Source organism: Homo sapiens, chromosome 18 (genome assembly GCF_000001405.40).
Source record: "Homo sapiens chromosome 18, GRCh38.p14 Primary Assembly".
In the NCBI taxonomy this organism is placed as follows: domain Eukaryota; kingdom Metazoa; phylum Chordata; class Mammalia; order Primates; family Hominidae; genus Homo; species Homo sapiens.
Window position 1 is genome coordinate 65890363 of NC_000018.10, and position 17943 is coordinate 65908305.

At 34.1% G+C, this 17943-nt stretch overlaps 2 annotated features.

Moving 5' to 3' along the window:
* Window positions 16099-16662: an enhancer, noted in NCBI's record as "OCT4-NANOG hESC enhancer chr18:63573697-63574260 (GRCh37/hg19 assembly coordinates)". NCBI's record gives its function as "activates a minimal SCP1, AML or CMV promoter by ChIP-STARR-seq in naive and primed H9 embryonic stem cells {active_cell/tissue: H9 hESC(naive and primed)}" and the evidence as "EXISTENCE:reporter gene assay evidence [ECO:0000049][PMID:30033119]".
* Window positions 16663-17224: an enhancer, noted in NCBI's record as "OCT4-NANOG hESC enhancer chr18:63574261-63574822 (GRCh37/hg19 assembly coordinates)". NCBI's record gives its function as "activates a minimal SCP1, AML or CMV promoter by ChIP-STARR-seq in naive and primed H9 embryonic stem cells {active_cell/tissue: H9 hESC(naive and primed)}" and the evidence as "EXISTENCE:reporter gene assay evidence [ECO:0000049][PMID:30033119]".

Here is a 17943-nt window from a genome sequence, read left to right on the forward strand (position 1 = left end):
TTTCTCTCTATGGTGTTTTGGATTACTTTCTCTGGGGTTATTGAAGATCAAAATAAAGCCCTATTTTTTTCCCTCTAATAAAAGGGGGATTTATTTAGGTTGTACAGAAAAGATACAATATAATCAGGGTTTAAGTAGCATAAATCAAGGTTTTGTGTTTTTTCTTCTCTTTTAAATACTCTCTTCCTACTTCTTTAGTCCATCAAAATCCTTTTAACAATATATTCAATAGCCAGAAAATCGAGTGAGTCGAGGACTGGGTCAATTCTTCAGCTCTCAACTGATATATCAGTGAGTAATTCTGATCTATACCACTTCTAGGTGGTCTTCGATATCTTCATTTAAAGTTTCATAAAGATAACTAAGCTGTGCTTTTGCCATTTCACAGTTAGGTAGTAAAGGGGATTCTCTTAGTTCTAGTTCAAGGCAAAGATTGTTATCTTTTGTTTTTTTTTGTTTTGTTTTAGCATCAATGGTGGGTCAGGGGTGAGCATGATGGTGTCACTACTTGTTTTCCTAAGATGTTAACAAGGCCAGGGTTGTATGACAGGCATAGATCCTTTGTACTTAAAACCATCCAGTTCCCTCCTCAAAAGGAATAATAAATGAATAAAATTTAGTCTCCTAGTTCATGGTGAGTTAAGTAGAATGTGTATATGACTATAAGCATGTGGAAGAGACCAAAGAAAAGTCTCACTTACATAAAAAACTTAAAAAGGTTCATATTCCACTTTCCTTAATCTAAAAATGTAATATCTAGCTTCCAAAATGAAAATGGTTGAATAATATGTACCAATTATTTAGAAAGGACATTTTTAAATTTTAAATATGCATTATGCATTATTATTTTTATTATGTATAATCATAATAGGAGAGGTTTAAATCACATAAATGCTCCTGAACTGAAATTTAAGAAACTTATTTATATGAGGTATATTTCACTGTTATTTCACATATATTTTCTGAGGACATGTATTATTACCAGCATTTAACCCACGAGGAAAGTAAAACTCCAAGCGTTTAGATGAATTGGCCAACATTCCACAAGCATTGAGTGATAGGGCAGGACCTGAACCAGGTTAATTCCATTCTGCCATAACACTGTTATGAACATTCATAATTTGAAGTTTCATATAATGATACTGTAATTTCACCTGTTAAATGTATGTATTAACATCACATAGGTAGGTAAGCATAAGTAATTAAAGTTTATTGTTTTTCCTCCAGGTGGTAAGAGGGGAAAGGTCCCTAAGAAGATGACCCTTTAAGCTCTATGTTTCGGTGAGAAAATGTGTGAATTGGGCTTATGGTCAAATTTACGTAGGCAAGTCTTTAAGTTTTAAATATCAGTACACCTTCATAGCACCACATTGGTGTATATACAAATCAAACAGGAATGCAAAAGAATTCCTGATAAACAATTTGGGCAACTGTAAAGATTAGAAGTGAAGGAGTGAAACGTAATGGATGAGGGCTAGAAGTAGAAGGCATGATGGAAATGAAAATCCTCAGTATTAACCACACTGAGAAACAAATGCACCTCCCAGAATCAGGCAAGAGACAGTTTTGTTATGATAATTACTATAATATGTTATGTTTGCAGTTGAAATCATCTTCAAGGCTATTAATATATAAACAATTAGAAAAAGGTGTCTGCATTCTTAAACCCATTCAAACTGTTAGTGAAAGGTTCAAACAATGTTGCTTGAAAGTACAGTAATTTAGAGCAGAATAGGGGTTGATAAAAATAAGACCAAAAAATTATAAAACAAGAAAGTAAGATATTTATAGAAAATTATTATTCAAATTAATTGTCATTCATGTCAAACTCCGTCCCCATCTTCAATTCAGCTTCTACAAATCTTACCCTTCATTCATTAATTTAGAAGTAAGCATCTGTGTGGGATGGGAACCGGCCATACAACAGTGAGTTAAAGAGATATTATTACTCTAGAGCTACTAGACAGTTTTCTCTGAATGTGGTTCCTGGATTACCTAAGTCATAGTAATTCTTGTTACATAACAGAATTCTTGTTAAGTGTGTTTCTGCAGACTTCATATTGCACATTGAATTAGGATTTTTTAGGAGTGAAAAGCTTAGCATTTCAGGCATCCTCTCTTCCTAATCACTAACAACCACCATAGAAATGTCCTGGCTAGGCTCAGTGGCTCACACCTGTAATCCCAGCACTTTGGGAGGCCAAGGGGGGTGGATCACGAGGTCAAGAGATCAAGACCATCCTGGCCAACAAGGTGAAACTCAGTCTCTACTAAAAAAAAAAAAATTAGCTGGTCATGGTGGCACGCACCTGTGGTACCAGCTACTCAGGAGGCTGAGGCAGGAGAATTGCTTAAACCCAGGAGGTGGAGGTTGCAGAGAGCCAAGATCACGCCACTGCACTCCAGCCTGAGTGACAGAGCGAGACTCTGTCTCAAAAAGAAAGAAAGAGAGAGAGGAAGGAAGGAAGCAAGGAAAGAAGGAAGGAAGGAAGGAAGGAAGGAAGGAAGGAAGGAAGGAAGGAAGGAAGGAAAGAAAGAAAGAAAGAAAGAAAGAAAGAAAGAAAGAAAGAAAGAAAGAAAGAAAGAAAGAAAGAAAGAAAAAAGAAAGAAAATAAATGTCCCGACAGGTGCCTCTGTCAGGTTCTCCACCATGGGAATCAGCAAATAAAATTCCTTATATGCTAATTCTAATGTTATACAGGGAACCAACTTGTCTCTATATTGAGTAAGGAAAGTTTTATAATCATAATTGATTTGAAGCACTTCAAATAGTCTTTTGCAATTTGACCATCAAAATAAGTACTAATAGTGAGTGATAGAGGAGCTAGAAAGAAATCATTTAGGCAGATAGTGAGGGTAAAGGGGTCCTCGGCAAGGCTTTCTTTTTAATAAAAATCAGCACTCAAATCATTTCCTTTCTAACAAGGAGCAGCCTGAAAAATCAAGCTGCGGACATAGATAAGCAAGCTGGAAGCGTCCATGGGTGAAGGCCGGCAGCTGTTCCACTAGGAAAAGGCTACCTGTGGGACAGGTATGTTCAACATGGAGGCTCCATCTTCCCTTTTCTTTGTCACCATGCATACAGTAAAAGAAGCAGGCAACATGGCACCAGCCAGGTAAAGAACCCAACTGCATAATCAAAGATTAGAGTAGGGGTGGCCAGATTTTTGCACGGTATGCAAATGGCACACACCTGGTCTAACCAATCTTTCATGCCCCATGTAAATCAAACACTGCCTCCTCAAGCTCATCTATAAAACCTCCTGCACTTCACCACTGAAGTGCCAACCCATTTTCTCCAGGACCCCTCTCTCTGCAGCAGAGAGAGCTTTTCTCTTTCTTTTGCCTATTAAATTTCCAATCTTAACCTCACTCTGGTGTGTCCACATCCTAGTTTGCCATGGCTGTGGGACAACGAACCTCGGGTATTACTCCAGACAATGATATCGCTTTAATAGCATGGATTATAATCTGAGTCCTAACCTGAGTCTATGCTGGCACAAATAAATAATTAAAGATTAATAAAAGTCCTTTCTTGTAGTAGGATGCCAACCAATAAATATTGAAGGGATGATGAAAGTAGAAATTCATCAAAGGTTATTAAAACTAGTGTATAACATGAGATAATAAACATGTTTACATAACACTCAACATTTGTTTCACAAGATATTTATTAATTACAGAGGAATAATAATAATAATAAAAATAATTTCTGGTGCAGAAATATGGGAAACACTGCCTGAACCAATGAATTAGCTGATCAATAAGATTAGAAAAAGTATTGTGAAATATCTCCTGATATGATGCACTGAGGACACAACATTGCTTTTGTGTTATTCCTGACAGATATGTATAACCTATTTCTATTTAGAAGGACACACTACAAACCATAAAAGAACATTATACAAAATAAGAAGCTTATAGTTTTCAAAAATGTCAAGATCAACAAATATAAAGAAAAGCTAGGGAAGGTTCCAGATTCTCAAAAAAATGTATAAATGCAATGCAAGTATTTTCACAGTTAGAAGGCATTTTTTTCCCTAAATGCTTTTCTGAAACTACAACCTGACAATCTAGCTCCTGCGAGATCACATAAAGAAATCTTTTTGTATTTAATAAATAACAAATGAAATATTTAATTACAGTAGAAATAGAATAGCAAATACAGCATTATCTTAGTTCCCCAGATAAATCAAAATAGATAAGATAAAATAAGATAGATTTGCACATGGCGATACTGATACATACAATGCAGACTTGGAAGTGCAATAGTTTCTATGGTGATTGCCAAAGAGCTGCTAATCAGTAATTCTTTTTTCCATATGACAGTATTTTTTTTTTGCAAAATTCTAAGAGATGATCTATAAAGTATATATATATATGTAATAAAACTAATTGGTTTATTTAAAAATTAGTTATTGTAATTATTAGTCATGGTCATATTTTATTATTGGAATATTAGATGATAATAACTAATTTTTAAATAAACCAATTAGTTTTTTTAAAAAAATAAAGGCCTATAAAGATTGTAACCGACATCACTTTTTAATACTATGTGAGTGACAGAGTATTTGATTGGTTTGATATAGATTCGCTTAATGGAAATCTATGTATTAATTTAAAATTAGAAATTTTCTTTAGAAAATATTAACTGAAATTATGGCAGCTATTGCAAATATCATGAAGTATTTTAAGTGATACATTCTTATTCATTGTACTTATTAAGAAAATGATAAATGCCTAATGGTTTGAGCCATTGCTGAGTATTATTTACTGTCAAAACTCTTCCAACTGACAGACTCAGAGTATAGTAGAGAAGCATTTTGCATATTAAAGTATTTTTAAGAAATTTAAATTATTATATGTAAGCAAAGGGTAAAAATGACAAAATACACTCTAACACAATAAAATAAAATGGAGGGGGACTTATTTTATCTGTTTTAAAGGCTGGCAAAAGATAAAATATAATTAGAACTTTATGTGTAATTGATAGTATTGCCTTTAAACATCTGCTGAATAACCTTGTCTCTTAATCCTATTTAAATTATCACTGTGGGCCCTGTGCAGTGGCTCATGCCTGTAATCCCAACACTTTGGGAGGTTGAGGTGGGTAGATCACCTGAGGTCAGTAGTTCGTGACCAGCCTGACCAACATGGTGAAAGCCCATCTCCACTAAAAATACAGAATTAGCCAGGAGTGGTGGCAGGCATCTGTAATCCCAGCTACTCTGGAGGTTGAGGCAGGAGAATCGCTTGAACCTGGGAGGCAGAGGTTGCAGTGAGTAGAGATCACGCCATTGCACTCCAGCCCAACAAGGGCGAAACTCCAACTCAAAAATAAATAAATAAATAATAAAATAAAATATCATTGTCTATAATGAACTCAGCCAGTTTACCTTTCCCTTTATTCCTTCTGCTTTTTGGATAAGGTTTCTTAAGATATTCAATCAGGATATCATCCTAATTCCCAGCAGCATCAAATTCAGAGACCTTGCTTTCTTGAAACTTTCCTATGTCACTTAAACACAAGCTCTGATAATATGCCTTTTCTAACATCCTCATACTAAGATGCCCAACAATTATGGACTATGTGTTCTCCTTTGTTGGGAATCACAATTAAACTCAGTATTGTTGAACTATATATGTCTATTACTAGTAGTCCTTGGCTGCTGGACGTTGACGTGGTTGGATTGCAGAGGACGACGTAGCTGCAAGATAATGCAGGGTCAAATGAGAGTTTTTTTAAAGATAAGACAATAGTTCAATATTTTTCTAGCTAATGCAGGGGAGAAAATTTCTGAAGTGGTATCTTTTAGAAGATGAGAGTTAATGGGTATAGTGAGCGCATAAAGATTGGTCCTAGGTAGAAAAAAGAAGAGTCCAGAAACAGAAAAATGAGAGATAATAAGGCATAATGATACTAGTATCAATAGGAACATGTTCAAGTGGGAACACGTGGAGTCTCTTCTTGGGTTACTTTTATTGTTCTTGCTGAACGGAAGAGCAAAATCATCAGTGGAACGTGAGGAAGTGGAAGAAATCTTAATGACGGATGAGACAAAAGTGTGAAGTAGATAACTAAGGGAAGAGAAAGGATCACAGAAACATCCTAGAACCTCTGGCAGCAGGAAGAGCTCAACACTTATTGAACTTATTGACCATGTCCAGAAATCAACTAAAATTGTCCCTACACTTCCATATCCCTACACAGTACATGTACTATTTAAGCAAAGGCGTGTATTGACCTTCTAATTTCTGATTTACTAAATTATCAACCTGCTTACATGCACAGACACATACACACACACACATAGACACACACACATACACACACCCATACACACACCCATACACACACACATACACACACATCTTAAGGTGAATTTTTCAGAAGTCATTAGGAAAGACCACCTGGCACCACCATGTCTAGCCACTAGATGTAGACCTACTGGTTCCTAGCTTACTTATTCTCTGAGTGACTCTATTCTCTAAGATTTGCCTCTCTATATTCAAATGTACCATCTATGTAGTGGGCATAACAATAGAATCTACTTCCTATGCATTCTAAAACAGTTAAATGTATTAACACTTATGAAGTAGTACTTAGAACAGTATTAGGCACTGCATTTGCCAAATAAACAGAAATCTTACCAAACTAGAATCTTATATCATTTTTTCCCTGGATTACTTTGAAAAAATAAAATCAAATGGATGAACTAATAGAAACAACCTATCACTGTGGCCTATTTGCCAACATGTCTAATTCTGGTAGTCATTTGGGAGTCTTTGTGGTCTCGATTATGGTTGGCATTACTGAGTGACTTCCATTGTGTAAGTATGAAGCCACTCACGAATGAAAGTGCTCCTCCCACCTGCCCAAGCATTCTTGCATCATTTTATTGTTATTTCTGGAAGAGTAGTGGTAGAAACTTGTTTGAAAAGTTAGAGAATGGGCAGGCATCATGGCTTAGGCATCTATCCCAGCATTTTGGGTGGCTGAGGGGGGAGGATTGCTTGAGGCAAGGAATCTGAGACCAGCCTGGGCAACAGGGGAGACCCATCTGTACAAAACATAAAAAATTACCTGGGTATGGTGGCATGTGCCTGTAGTCCCAGCTGCTCAGGGGGCTAAGACAGGAGGCTGCGGTGAGCCATGTCTGCACCACTGCACACCACACCGGGTGACAGAGTGAGACCCTGTCTCAAAAAAATAAAAAATAAAAAATAAACAAAACAAAAAAGAAATCAATAAAAAAAGTTGAAGAAATCTTCAGTTCCGCTTAATGATAATCAATTATTAATACATCACTAATTTGGCCATTTATATGAGTAAAAAAATACATTCTTACCTACTTAATTTTGTTATTTCTATCAGAGAGAAAAAGAGAGAGATCCAAAGACAATATTGTTGAATAACTCTCTATGCTCACTACTACCTCTAAAAGCCCCTTTAAGAAATGGAATATCATATTTTGAATGCATCCAATTAACTAACATGACTTTTAAGGAGTATTGTATACTATCAAAGGACATCCCCAATGTGAAAACCTGTTGCAACTCATCACTATTCTATTGCTCCAGTTTTCATATTATATTTTAAACTTTTGAAATATTTGTTTAATTCTCTTTATGCTTTACTTTTTTGTATGACTGGAGATTTGTAAGACATGTCCACAAATTCTAAGGAAATCTAAAAAGATGAAGTCTACTGAATGAAAATTCTTTCTCAGGTCTATAGAAATTCAAAGAATAAAACTTTAAAGAGAAATAAATTCTGTTTAGTTGACTCTAGCCTTCTAAGTATCTAAATCTTCTTGAAAGAAGTAAAATGTGATTAAATTTTGAGGGAGCGCAATAATCTGAAGTCATCGCGTTTACCTATTTTAGCAGCAAAGTATTAAGACAAGGAATGGTGCCTAAAAACTGCCACTGCCCAAGAGCTCCACAGGAAGAGCTGAAATCCACCCAGGAGAAATAAGTTTCTGTCGGAATATGACAGGACATTCAACTGCACTGATCGTTTTCTCTTTGGAGATGCATTCGATCGGAATTATTAAGAATGAAGTTCTTTTTACTTTATAAAAATGTTCTTCAAAGATTTTCTTTTTCTTCCCAAACAATTTTGCCTTGCTTTGCAGGCAGTACCCAGAAAAATAAAAGTTACCCTGTGTGATATTACATTGCATTTTACATTCAAGGACACAGTAAAGGTGTGTGCATTGTATAAAAATTAAAACATTCATTTTCTTCCAAGAACAAATAAAGGCTTGAACACTATTTGTCTGTTTCTGCTCTTTCATAGCTATTTTCCTATGAAGGCTAGAAATGATGGCAAAGGTATTCAGAGAACATTAAACTTTTAAGTACTTCTTCATTTTGTTGTATTATAGAGTAAATACAGCTTAATTAGATAACTGGTTTGAAATATGAGAATAAAAAGTATTTAATAACTACAAACCATTTGAGAGCATGTGAGTTGAGGATATTGTCTACAAGGAAAAGATCTTTAAACTATAGAAAATTGCCTTTTTGAAACACAATTAGATTAAAAATTGGAACTATAACCTGAACAAAGAAAGAAAAGGCAACTTAAGAAAGAAATTATTTCATGTGTCTAATATTGAGAACTAGTTTTATTTTTCCAGCCTGCAGATATTAAGTCAATGTATTATTATACTTATTATGAATATGAAAACTACTGGGATTTAGAAAGCTTGTTTTAAACACCACCAGAATTAGTAATGAAAGAAAGGAGGCCAGATGTCAAATATTTATTCTCTTATGTATGTATGTATATATTTTGCCATTCAACTCAAGTTGGATTCCAAGACTCAGTTCTGACTCTGGTAGTTTGTTTTCTATTTATAAGTTGCCAAAGACATAAAGAACACCTATATTAGTCCGTTTTCACACCTCTGTAAAGAAATACCTGAGACTGGGTAATTTGTACAAAAAAGAGGTCTAATTAACTCACAGTTCTGCATGGCTGGATAGGCCGCAGGAAACTTACAATCTTGGTGCAAGCTGAAGCAGAAGCAGGCGTCTTCTTCACAAGGTGGCAGGAGAGAGAGTGCTAGTAGGGGAAATGCCAGATGCTGATGAAGCCATCAGATCTGAAAACTCACTCACTATCACAAAAACAGCATGGAGGAAACCAACTCTATAATTCAATTGCCTCCCCACATGGTACCTCCCTTAACACCTGGGGATTATGGGGATTACAATTCAAGATGAGATTGGGGTGAGGACAAAAAGCACAAATAACTGTATCGCTATCCTTGGAAAATGTACTTCCCATTACTACATCTCAGTGATAAAATGTGGGTATTGATACTTGCAGAACTTTTTCGCCTATAATGTTACAAAACTAGGATAGCTGCAGGAAGTCTTTTGTAAAATGAAAGACTATTTTTTCTTTGCAGCTTGCTAGGGTATTTAAGTTATTTATAATTCAGGAAACAAATAAAGCAAACTCATACATCTTCCTACTGAACTAGGCATATTACTGTAATGGCCTTCATGTGAACAATATCTCTTAAAAGGTAACTAATGATATCTTACCTTTCTTACTTCTAGAAAAAAAAAGATTTAATCTAATGACAATCATTAAATTCATTTTACTTTATTAAGTATTTTTTAAAAATTTAGAGACAAACCTTTGCATCACACTGAAAAGAACTTACATGAATACTTCCTTTTCTAGGTGCTCCCCAGTTTAATACAAAAGAGATTCCTGTTTATTTTCTCAAGTTTGTTTTGAACCTGTGATTGACTCACTTTTTAGAATTTCTTTTCTGTGTAAAAGACATAATGTTTCAAATAGTATATTTATTCCTTTGGTATTGAGTGAACAACAGGATATAATTCAAGTGCTGATATAATTGAACTACCTGAATGTTAATAATTTATTTCTTTGAGTATTTCTGCAGGTATCGTTAGTCTTGGACATTCAATTTCAGGATGTTCTGTATCACTTTCAAACTTTATACTTAAAGCTAAAATAAAGTCAAATGATTTGATTTTTAAATTGTACATCATTTGCAAGCAGCGAAAAAGCATTTTTAATCATGTATGCATATCACCGCAGTGTCATGATTCCTGAGTGTGTGCCACGACCTCTAAACAGCTCAGAAATATGTTGTGTTGTGTTGACAATTGCCTATATTCATGTGAGAACTGTTAACCTAGATTTATTAAATGTAGTGCACTTTGGAAAATGTGAAATTGAACACAAGAGACTAAAATATAAGCTGCATTCCTCAAGAAATAAATCCAGTGCCTTTGAGCCTCTAAAATAAGCATAAAATACACAGAGGGATGAAAAGACACAATTTAGAGAGCAATAGTCCCTCAGCATCTTACAAGACTGCCCTTAGCAACTTGAAATATATGACTGTTCACATGCCCCATGATTCTTTTACTCTGTGTGGTGCTTTTTCACCTTTTCTATGGGATTCTCTCACTCCAGACCCAGTGAAGAGCTATGCTAATTTGAAATAAGTTTGGAATTCATGCCATAAAACTTGCTAAAGATGAATTGAGTTTGATGCACGATGCCAGTTGTATTCTGAAAGAATGCTTGCATTATTATAAACAAATCAGATAATTATGTAGAAAAAAATCCACATCAACCCAAAAAATAATAACAAGTGTTATAAAAAAAACAGTTCAGAAGTACCCAGACAGTACATTCTTTGAGAGTGGAAAACTGGGTTTGTGTATTTGGTCAATACTTGTATTGACAAAGTATTTTAAAATTCTGGTTGAAGTATTTTAAATTTGACCATGTAATGGCTTTAACTCTCTGATAATAACCATGTAATAACATTAATTATCTAGATATGTTAAAAAAGGCAAACACATCATATCAAATATACTGAGTATTTTATTTTTTTCCAAGATAATTCTAACAGACGAGAAATAATTACCTTCCTGTATCATAAAAATACAGAGAGATTACAGACTACACTATACTCTTTCCAAATACAAACACAAATATAAACCAATGAACACATAACCAAGGAACAAAGGAAAAGCAAAGTATTTAAAAATGTGAGCTTCTGATTCAGTGGTTTTGGAGGACTCTATTAACTCCTGTGAAGGAGCTGACACCATTATTTCCATTTAAAAAGGATATGCCTTTTGTGTGAATTGTAATTTGCTTTATCTGAATCCAACTAGTGAGTGGTATTCAGGAGATCTAGCCTAAAAACTTTAATTTAGAGTAAGAGAAGATGCAATAATGTGTTCGAATTAGACATTATAGACTTCCCTAAACCTTATGACCCATAAATCTGTACACTCATTACACATTTTATTGCCAGGTTTAAAAATCTGAAGTTAGTTTAACATGTTTGTTGTATTCAGCTATATAATAAACCTCTTGAGACAAGATAAAATCTCTTCTCATATCTTATTTCATTCAATAAATATGATGACTTGTTTCTGAGCAACACATAGCATATACTTGAAATATATTGTTTGGAACAAGAAACCTAGAAGAAAAAGAGGTGAGGCTATCAACATAATTTGAATAAGGAATCTCAGTGATCCATTAAAGATGCATTCGACCTTACATATTAAAGAAGTGTTTCTCAGATCTAAAATATACATCATGATGTCAAAGCAAACAAACAAACAACAAATATCTCTGGAGTAGTCTTAATAACCTGCTAGAGATATTTTATAATGTGTTATTTATTCTGAAATTTCTAATATATGCTATCATGTGTAGAAAATTAAATGAAGACTTCCATTTCCAGTGATGGTGGAGTAGCTTATATCAGAAAAATCTCCCTGTAGTTAACGATACACTCTATCGTTAAAATAGATGAAAAATAACCATTTGAAGACAGAGGTAGGCGAAACCAGAGGCTGTTCAGCTGTTGAATGAAAAGGAGCACATAAGTGAAGTGTGAAGTGATTAACTTTGAAATTTAGCAGTCTGATAGATTAAAGTTGAATATCATTAAACTAGCACAAATACTAAATATTAATGATAGAAAAAAAGTGACTAAAAAGCTCAAAGAGGAGAGAAGGAAAATACAAAAAAAAAAAAAAAATCCCAGCCAATTAAGCCAAAGTAATATGAGAAAGGAGTAACAGAGAAACAAAAAGGAGAAATGATAAATGAAAGACACATACCAAGATGGTTGACTTAAGCCAAAAGATATCAAAATTACACGAAATATAATTAGAAAAAATAATTCAATGAAAACAAGAGGTTTTCAGACTGAATGTCAATCAAGAAATAACTGTATGTTGTATATAAAAGATGCACGAAGTGTAGGTGTGCATATCAAAACAAGCATAGGTTGAAATGAATAAATATGGAAAAAAATACACCATACAAACTTTCTGCTTAAAAACTTGTGCAGTTATATTAATATCAATGAGTGCAGACTTCAAAGTAATAAATCTCACCCCAGATAAAATATTTCATAATGATGAACACATCAATTCATCAAGAAAACGTAACAAGTAAAAACGTGTATTGATTAGAATTTCAGAATTTATGAAATAAAACTGGAAGGCCTGCAGTTAAAAAAAGCTAAATCTGCATTAATAGATGGAGACTTTAAAAATGTTAATTTTAATTTCAGCAATGAAATTAAAATCACAATGAGATACCACCTTACTTCTTCAAGGATGGCTGTAATTTAAAAATTAAAAAAACAAAACAGTAGATGTTGGCATGGATGTGGTGAAAAGGGAACACTTTTGCACTGCCGGTGGGAATATAAACTAGTATAACCACTATGGAAAACAGTATGGAGATGACTTAAACAAGTAAAAGTAGATTGTTCCAGCAATCCAACTACTGGGTATCTACCAAAAGGAAAAGAAGTCATATGAAAAAGACACATGCACATTTATGTTTATATGAAAACAATTTTCAGGTGTGAAGATATGTAACCACCCTAAGTGCCCAGCAACCAACGAGTGCAGAAAGAATATGTGGGATACATACAACGTTGAATACTGCTCAACCATTAAAAGGAACAAAATAATGTCTTTTGCAGCGACTTGGTTGGAGCTGGAGGCCATTATTCCAAGTGAAGTAAGGTAGGAATGGAAAACTAAATATTGTATGTTCTCATCTGTAAGTGGGAGCTACGCTGTGAGGATGCAAGGGCATAACAATGATACAATCATTTTTGGGGAGTCGGAAGGCAAGGTTGAGAGAGGAGTGAGGGATAAAACACTACGTATTGGGTACAGTGTACACTGCTTTGACGGCAGGTTCACTAAAATCTCAGAAATCCCCAGTAAAGAACTTCTTAATGTAAGCAGAACCACCTGTATACCAAAACGTACTGAAATAAAAACAATTTTAAAAATCAGCAATAAATATAAAGAACAATATAAACCAAAACATCTTAAATGATACCTATAGAAAATTACACTGAACGAGTGAAAAATATAAATTATATTTTCCAAGTTCACATTTAATATCCACCAACACAGAGGATAGGCTTGGCATCAAATAAGGACCAATGTGTTTTAAAGAGTGAAATCTTATAGACTATGCTATCTGACCACAATAATATTAAGTTAGAAATAAAAACGAGAAGGTACTTTAAAAAGCCCCACAACATTGGAAATACTATTAAATAAATCATAAGATTTTAAAAAATCACAAGAGAATTTATAAAATCTTTTAAGATAAGCGACAAAAACCTAACATTTCAAAAGGTTTGGGGTGCAGTGAAAGCAGTGCCTAGAGAGAAATTGATTGCCTAAGTGTTCCTGTTAAATATAATTCTTTTTTCTCGCCCCTTACCCATGTCCTTTACAGGAAACCACTGATCTTTCGGTTACTATAGATTAGATACTAGGATTTTGTGTAAATTAAATTATACTGTGCATAATCTTTTAAAATCTGTTTTCTTTCAGTCAGGATAATCGTTTGAGATTTATTGATGTTGAAACAGTAGTTCACTCTTTTTTCTTCCCATTAGCATTTTATTAATAAATATACTAATATTTGTTCATCCATTTACCTCCTGAGGGACATTTGGATTGTTTTCTGTTTTGGTTATTACCAATAAAGCTTTTATGGCCATTTGTGCATAATGGTTTGTGTATACATAGGATTTCGTATTTTTGTATAAATGCCTGGATAATATAGTAGGCATTTACTAACTATATTAAGAAACTGGAAAACTTTTCCAAACTTGTACCATTTTCTGTTCCCACCAGCAATATATGAGAGTTCAGGTTTCTCTGTCAACACTTGGTATGATCAGTCCATTTAATTTTAACCTTGCTAGTAGATGTGTTGTTGTATCTCATTGTGATTTTAATTTTAATTTGCTTTTTCCTTAGGACCAATGACGTTGGGCATCTATGACATTGGACATGCACAGTTTGCACTAAAATAAGATTTTCATGTGTTTGCTTGTCATAAAGAAAATACAAATACGTTGATAAATTAGTCATCATTAGGTACATTATTCAAATCAGTCTGTCACGGTAGGTCTGTTCTATACTTCCTGTAACTTTCCTTCAAACTAGGAGAGCCAGATAAAACACAGGGCACTTAATTAAATCTGAATCTTATACACACACACACACGTATATAACATATATATCTATATATATATATACATATGAGTCATGTGTGTATATATCTGTATGTACACTCATACATATATAAACATAAACACATACATAACACATATACATATATATAATAATTTACATGTGTGCGTATGTGTAGAGAGAGAGAGCAAGACAGTGAGAGATAAATTGTAAGGAATTTGCTCTCATGTTTGTGGAGGCTAGCCAGTCCAAAATATATAGAGCAAGCTGGTAGGCCAAAGACCTGAAGGAAAAGAAAAAAAAGAAAAGAAAAAAGCAGGCCTTATTCTCCTAAATTTTTGGATCTTTTGCCTTTTTTATTCCTAAAAACTAATTTCTTCATGATGGACAAATTATGTAGGGCAGATTTACACTATTATGCTATCTAGAATGCTGAGCACAAGTGTTAATCAGCTAGAGAGAACAAAACGTAAACACTATCTGTGACCTCAGAGCCTCTGCAGAAAAACACACAGTTTGTGAAATTTGTAACAGCATCCAGCAAAAACAAGGAGTACAGATTGAGATCCAGCCTGTTCTTTCCTAGCCAAGCCATGTGCCCTGTCCCAGGGCTGCCTCAGCTTGGAGGATGGGCCACCTTTTACTTCACTTAGAGGCTTATCAAGCTCCACTGTGCTTAGGACTTCTGAGAGGACATCACCTTTTTCAATTAGTGCAAAATTCATATTAATTCATATTGATCTAGACAGGTGATCTCAGGTCTTTCCAAGTACTGAAACAACTTCAAACCTACCCAATTCAGATCTGTGTAATTATTGTTCATTGTTCCATAGGTAAGTAAACCAAGCCACCTGTCTTGAATGCTCATACTGATGCCTACAATGATCCATATTCCATCACTTTCTTTCTCTCTAATACTTTAGTTCTCATTCCAAGATTTAATATTATTATGCATTCTAAACTAATGATTTCCAAATTAGACAATAAGAACCATGAGACAGATGATTTCCTACAGAAATTTAAATTTAATTAATTTAAAAAGCTATCCTAACTCTCAAATAACATCCTTTCTAATTTTAGGCTTCAAAGTAATTTTTCCTTTATAAAGTCAATTTTATAACAGTTGTTGTTTTATAATTGTCCTTCCATGGAAGAGCACTGACAACACTATTCTGATCTATCTCCTTTGAGATTACTGATATATAAAAAGCAAAAGTCTGCATATCATTTTCTCAAAACACTTCTCAGAATCTCTCTGCTGCTGCAACATGGCTGAGATTTGGCCTCATTTAAAGGCCTCAATTTTCCTGCTGAAGCAGCTCAATTCCCTACATTATGGGGTAATTATGGGAATTAATTTAATGTATGCAATAGACTTACCTATGGAAGCAGGAAGAGATCCATAAACAGTAGCCATGGTTTTATTTGTGTTCTTGGGCAAGTAAAATAACATTTAAAAGTCAGTACTTTAAAGGACTTTCTTACCCGATTACAAGTTACGGAGAAGATGCATTTTAGATTTTACATGCAGTAGTGATTTTAAAATTAAAAATAGTGACCACGTGTAAACTTATTATGAAATGCTGTTGTCAAAGCAAAAAATTACACCAGACAGTTAAACAGGCAAGCAAAAATTTGTTCAAGGCTATTTGCAATGGAAGAGAGAGGCCAGAACTCAGTTTGCATTCAACTCCCTTGAAACAACGGGGTGGAAAGCTTCAGAATTTTTATGAGCTGGAGTGCGAAGATCTTAGGCCTTCTATGTTTGCTAATTGGCTTTACCTGAAGGAAAAGTAAACTTTCTCCTCCTATCTTCATGACAGGAAGTAGTTTTTACAACTTGGGGCAAAGTGCCCAGTGAAATTAAGACCCTACCTTCCCACAGAGGCTGGGAGGTAGGGCACTATCCTCCTTGATGATTACATTTCAAAGGAATGGCTCCCAGGTCCTTGAGAAAGACATCCCTGGGTTGTAAAACTATAAAGAGGTTTTAAAATGATTTACATCTCAAAGAGGCAGAGAAAGGATTAACAATGACAAGTTTTCCACAGTAAATGTTATAAGAAAAGGTAAATCAGAGGTCTAGACTACTCTCAGGAAGAAGCCTGTCTAAACTGCAGGCAAACTGAGGAGAACTTTAAGGCCTTTTGGGTCTCTAGCTATAATCAAATAAGGCCTTAAAACATAATTTCATAAGGAAAAAAAATGAATAGCTAAAGGATAAAAATCAAGGCCACTTAAAGGAGTAATAAAGGTTACATCTAAGAAAAAAAAGGATTAAAAATCAGCATCAATTTAGCAACAAAGAAAACTAGTCAAGCAGAGATAAGAAGTTTATCAAAATCTGCTGTTTCTGAGACTTCTTTGCTGTCGTGTGCTTTCAAGGAACAAATACTTCTATTTAATAATCCTGTACTATTATTAGAATCAATGTGTTAATATGTTTAAAATGTTTATAATACATGATTGGCACATTAGCAGCCATCAAAAAAGTGATTATTTACTTATTCTGAATTACTCTTTCTTTCTCCTCCTTATGTTTGTGCAAGCCATGCCTCGGGGTATGTGCTCTTAGCTTTCAAAAATAATGGATTGCAAATGGAAAGGATTTTCTAAACTAGCATGTGGACCAGCATTCAAAATCTTTGTACTTGCTTGAAGAATACTGTATCTTGACGCAAGAAAGATAAAAATGGCACAGAGTAACAGAAGAGTCCTTATTTTTTAGATTCTATGCTATAATTTGGGCCTTGATAGGATTTTCTTTTTTTCTTTCTTGATTTTTGAAACTGCCATTACCTCATTCTATGAAATAGAACGAGTGTTCCCAGCTTTGGTATTTTTATGATTCTTATTTTTATGATCATGGTTTATACATAATTGTACTAGGTTAAAAAAATCTCCTAGCACTGGAAAAATTTTAGTAGTTCAAAAACTGATATGTGTTATTGGCGAAAACAACCTCTCAGTAATATTAACATTTGCCATATCAAACAAACAATGGACCTAATGGTGGACTTTTGAAGCAGTGATATGGAGCCACTAATTTGTTATATATTTTTAAAAGAGTAGTTTAACTTCAAACAAGTTTTAGAAAATTATAAAATATAGGTTGAAATTTTGAGTATGTTTCATGTTTGGGGATCGCTAATTGCATCATTTGAAAGAATATTGCCAAAATGGACAACTTGTAGACTATGGGCAGAAAGAAAATATTGCTTTAAGATTTGAGTTGTGATTTGACTCTGGAAGTCTGGCAAATCAGATTGAAATTATTTTTAAATTGGTTGTAACTTCTAAAATAGCTAGATGGCATTTTATTGCTATGGTCAGCTGTCAATTAGAGGAGCTTCTTTTTGTTGCCGCTTTCATTTAAAGTGATTTACCTAAGTATGCTAA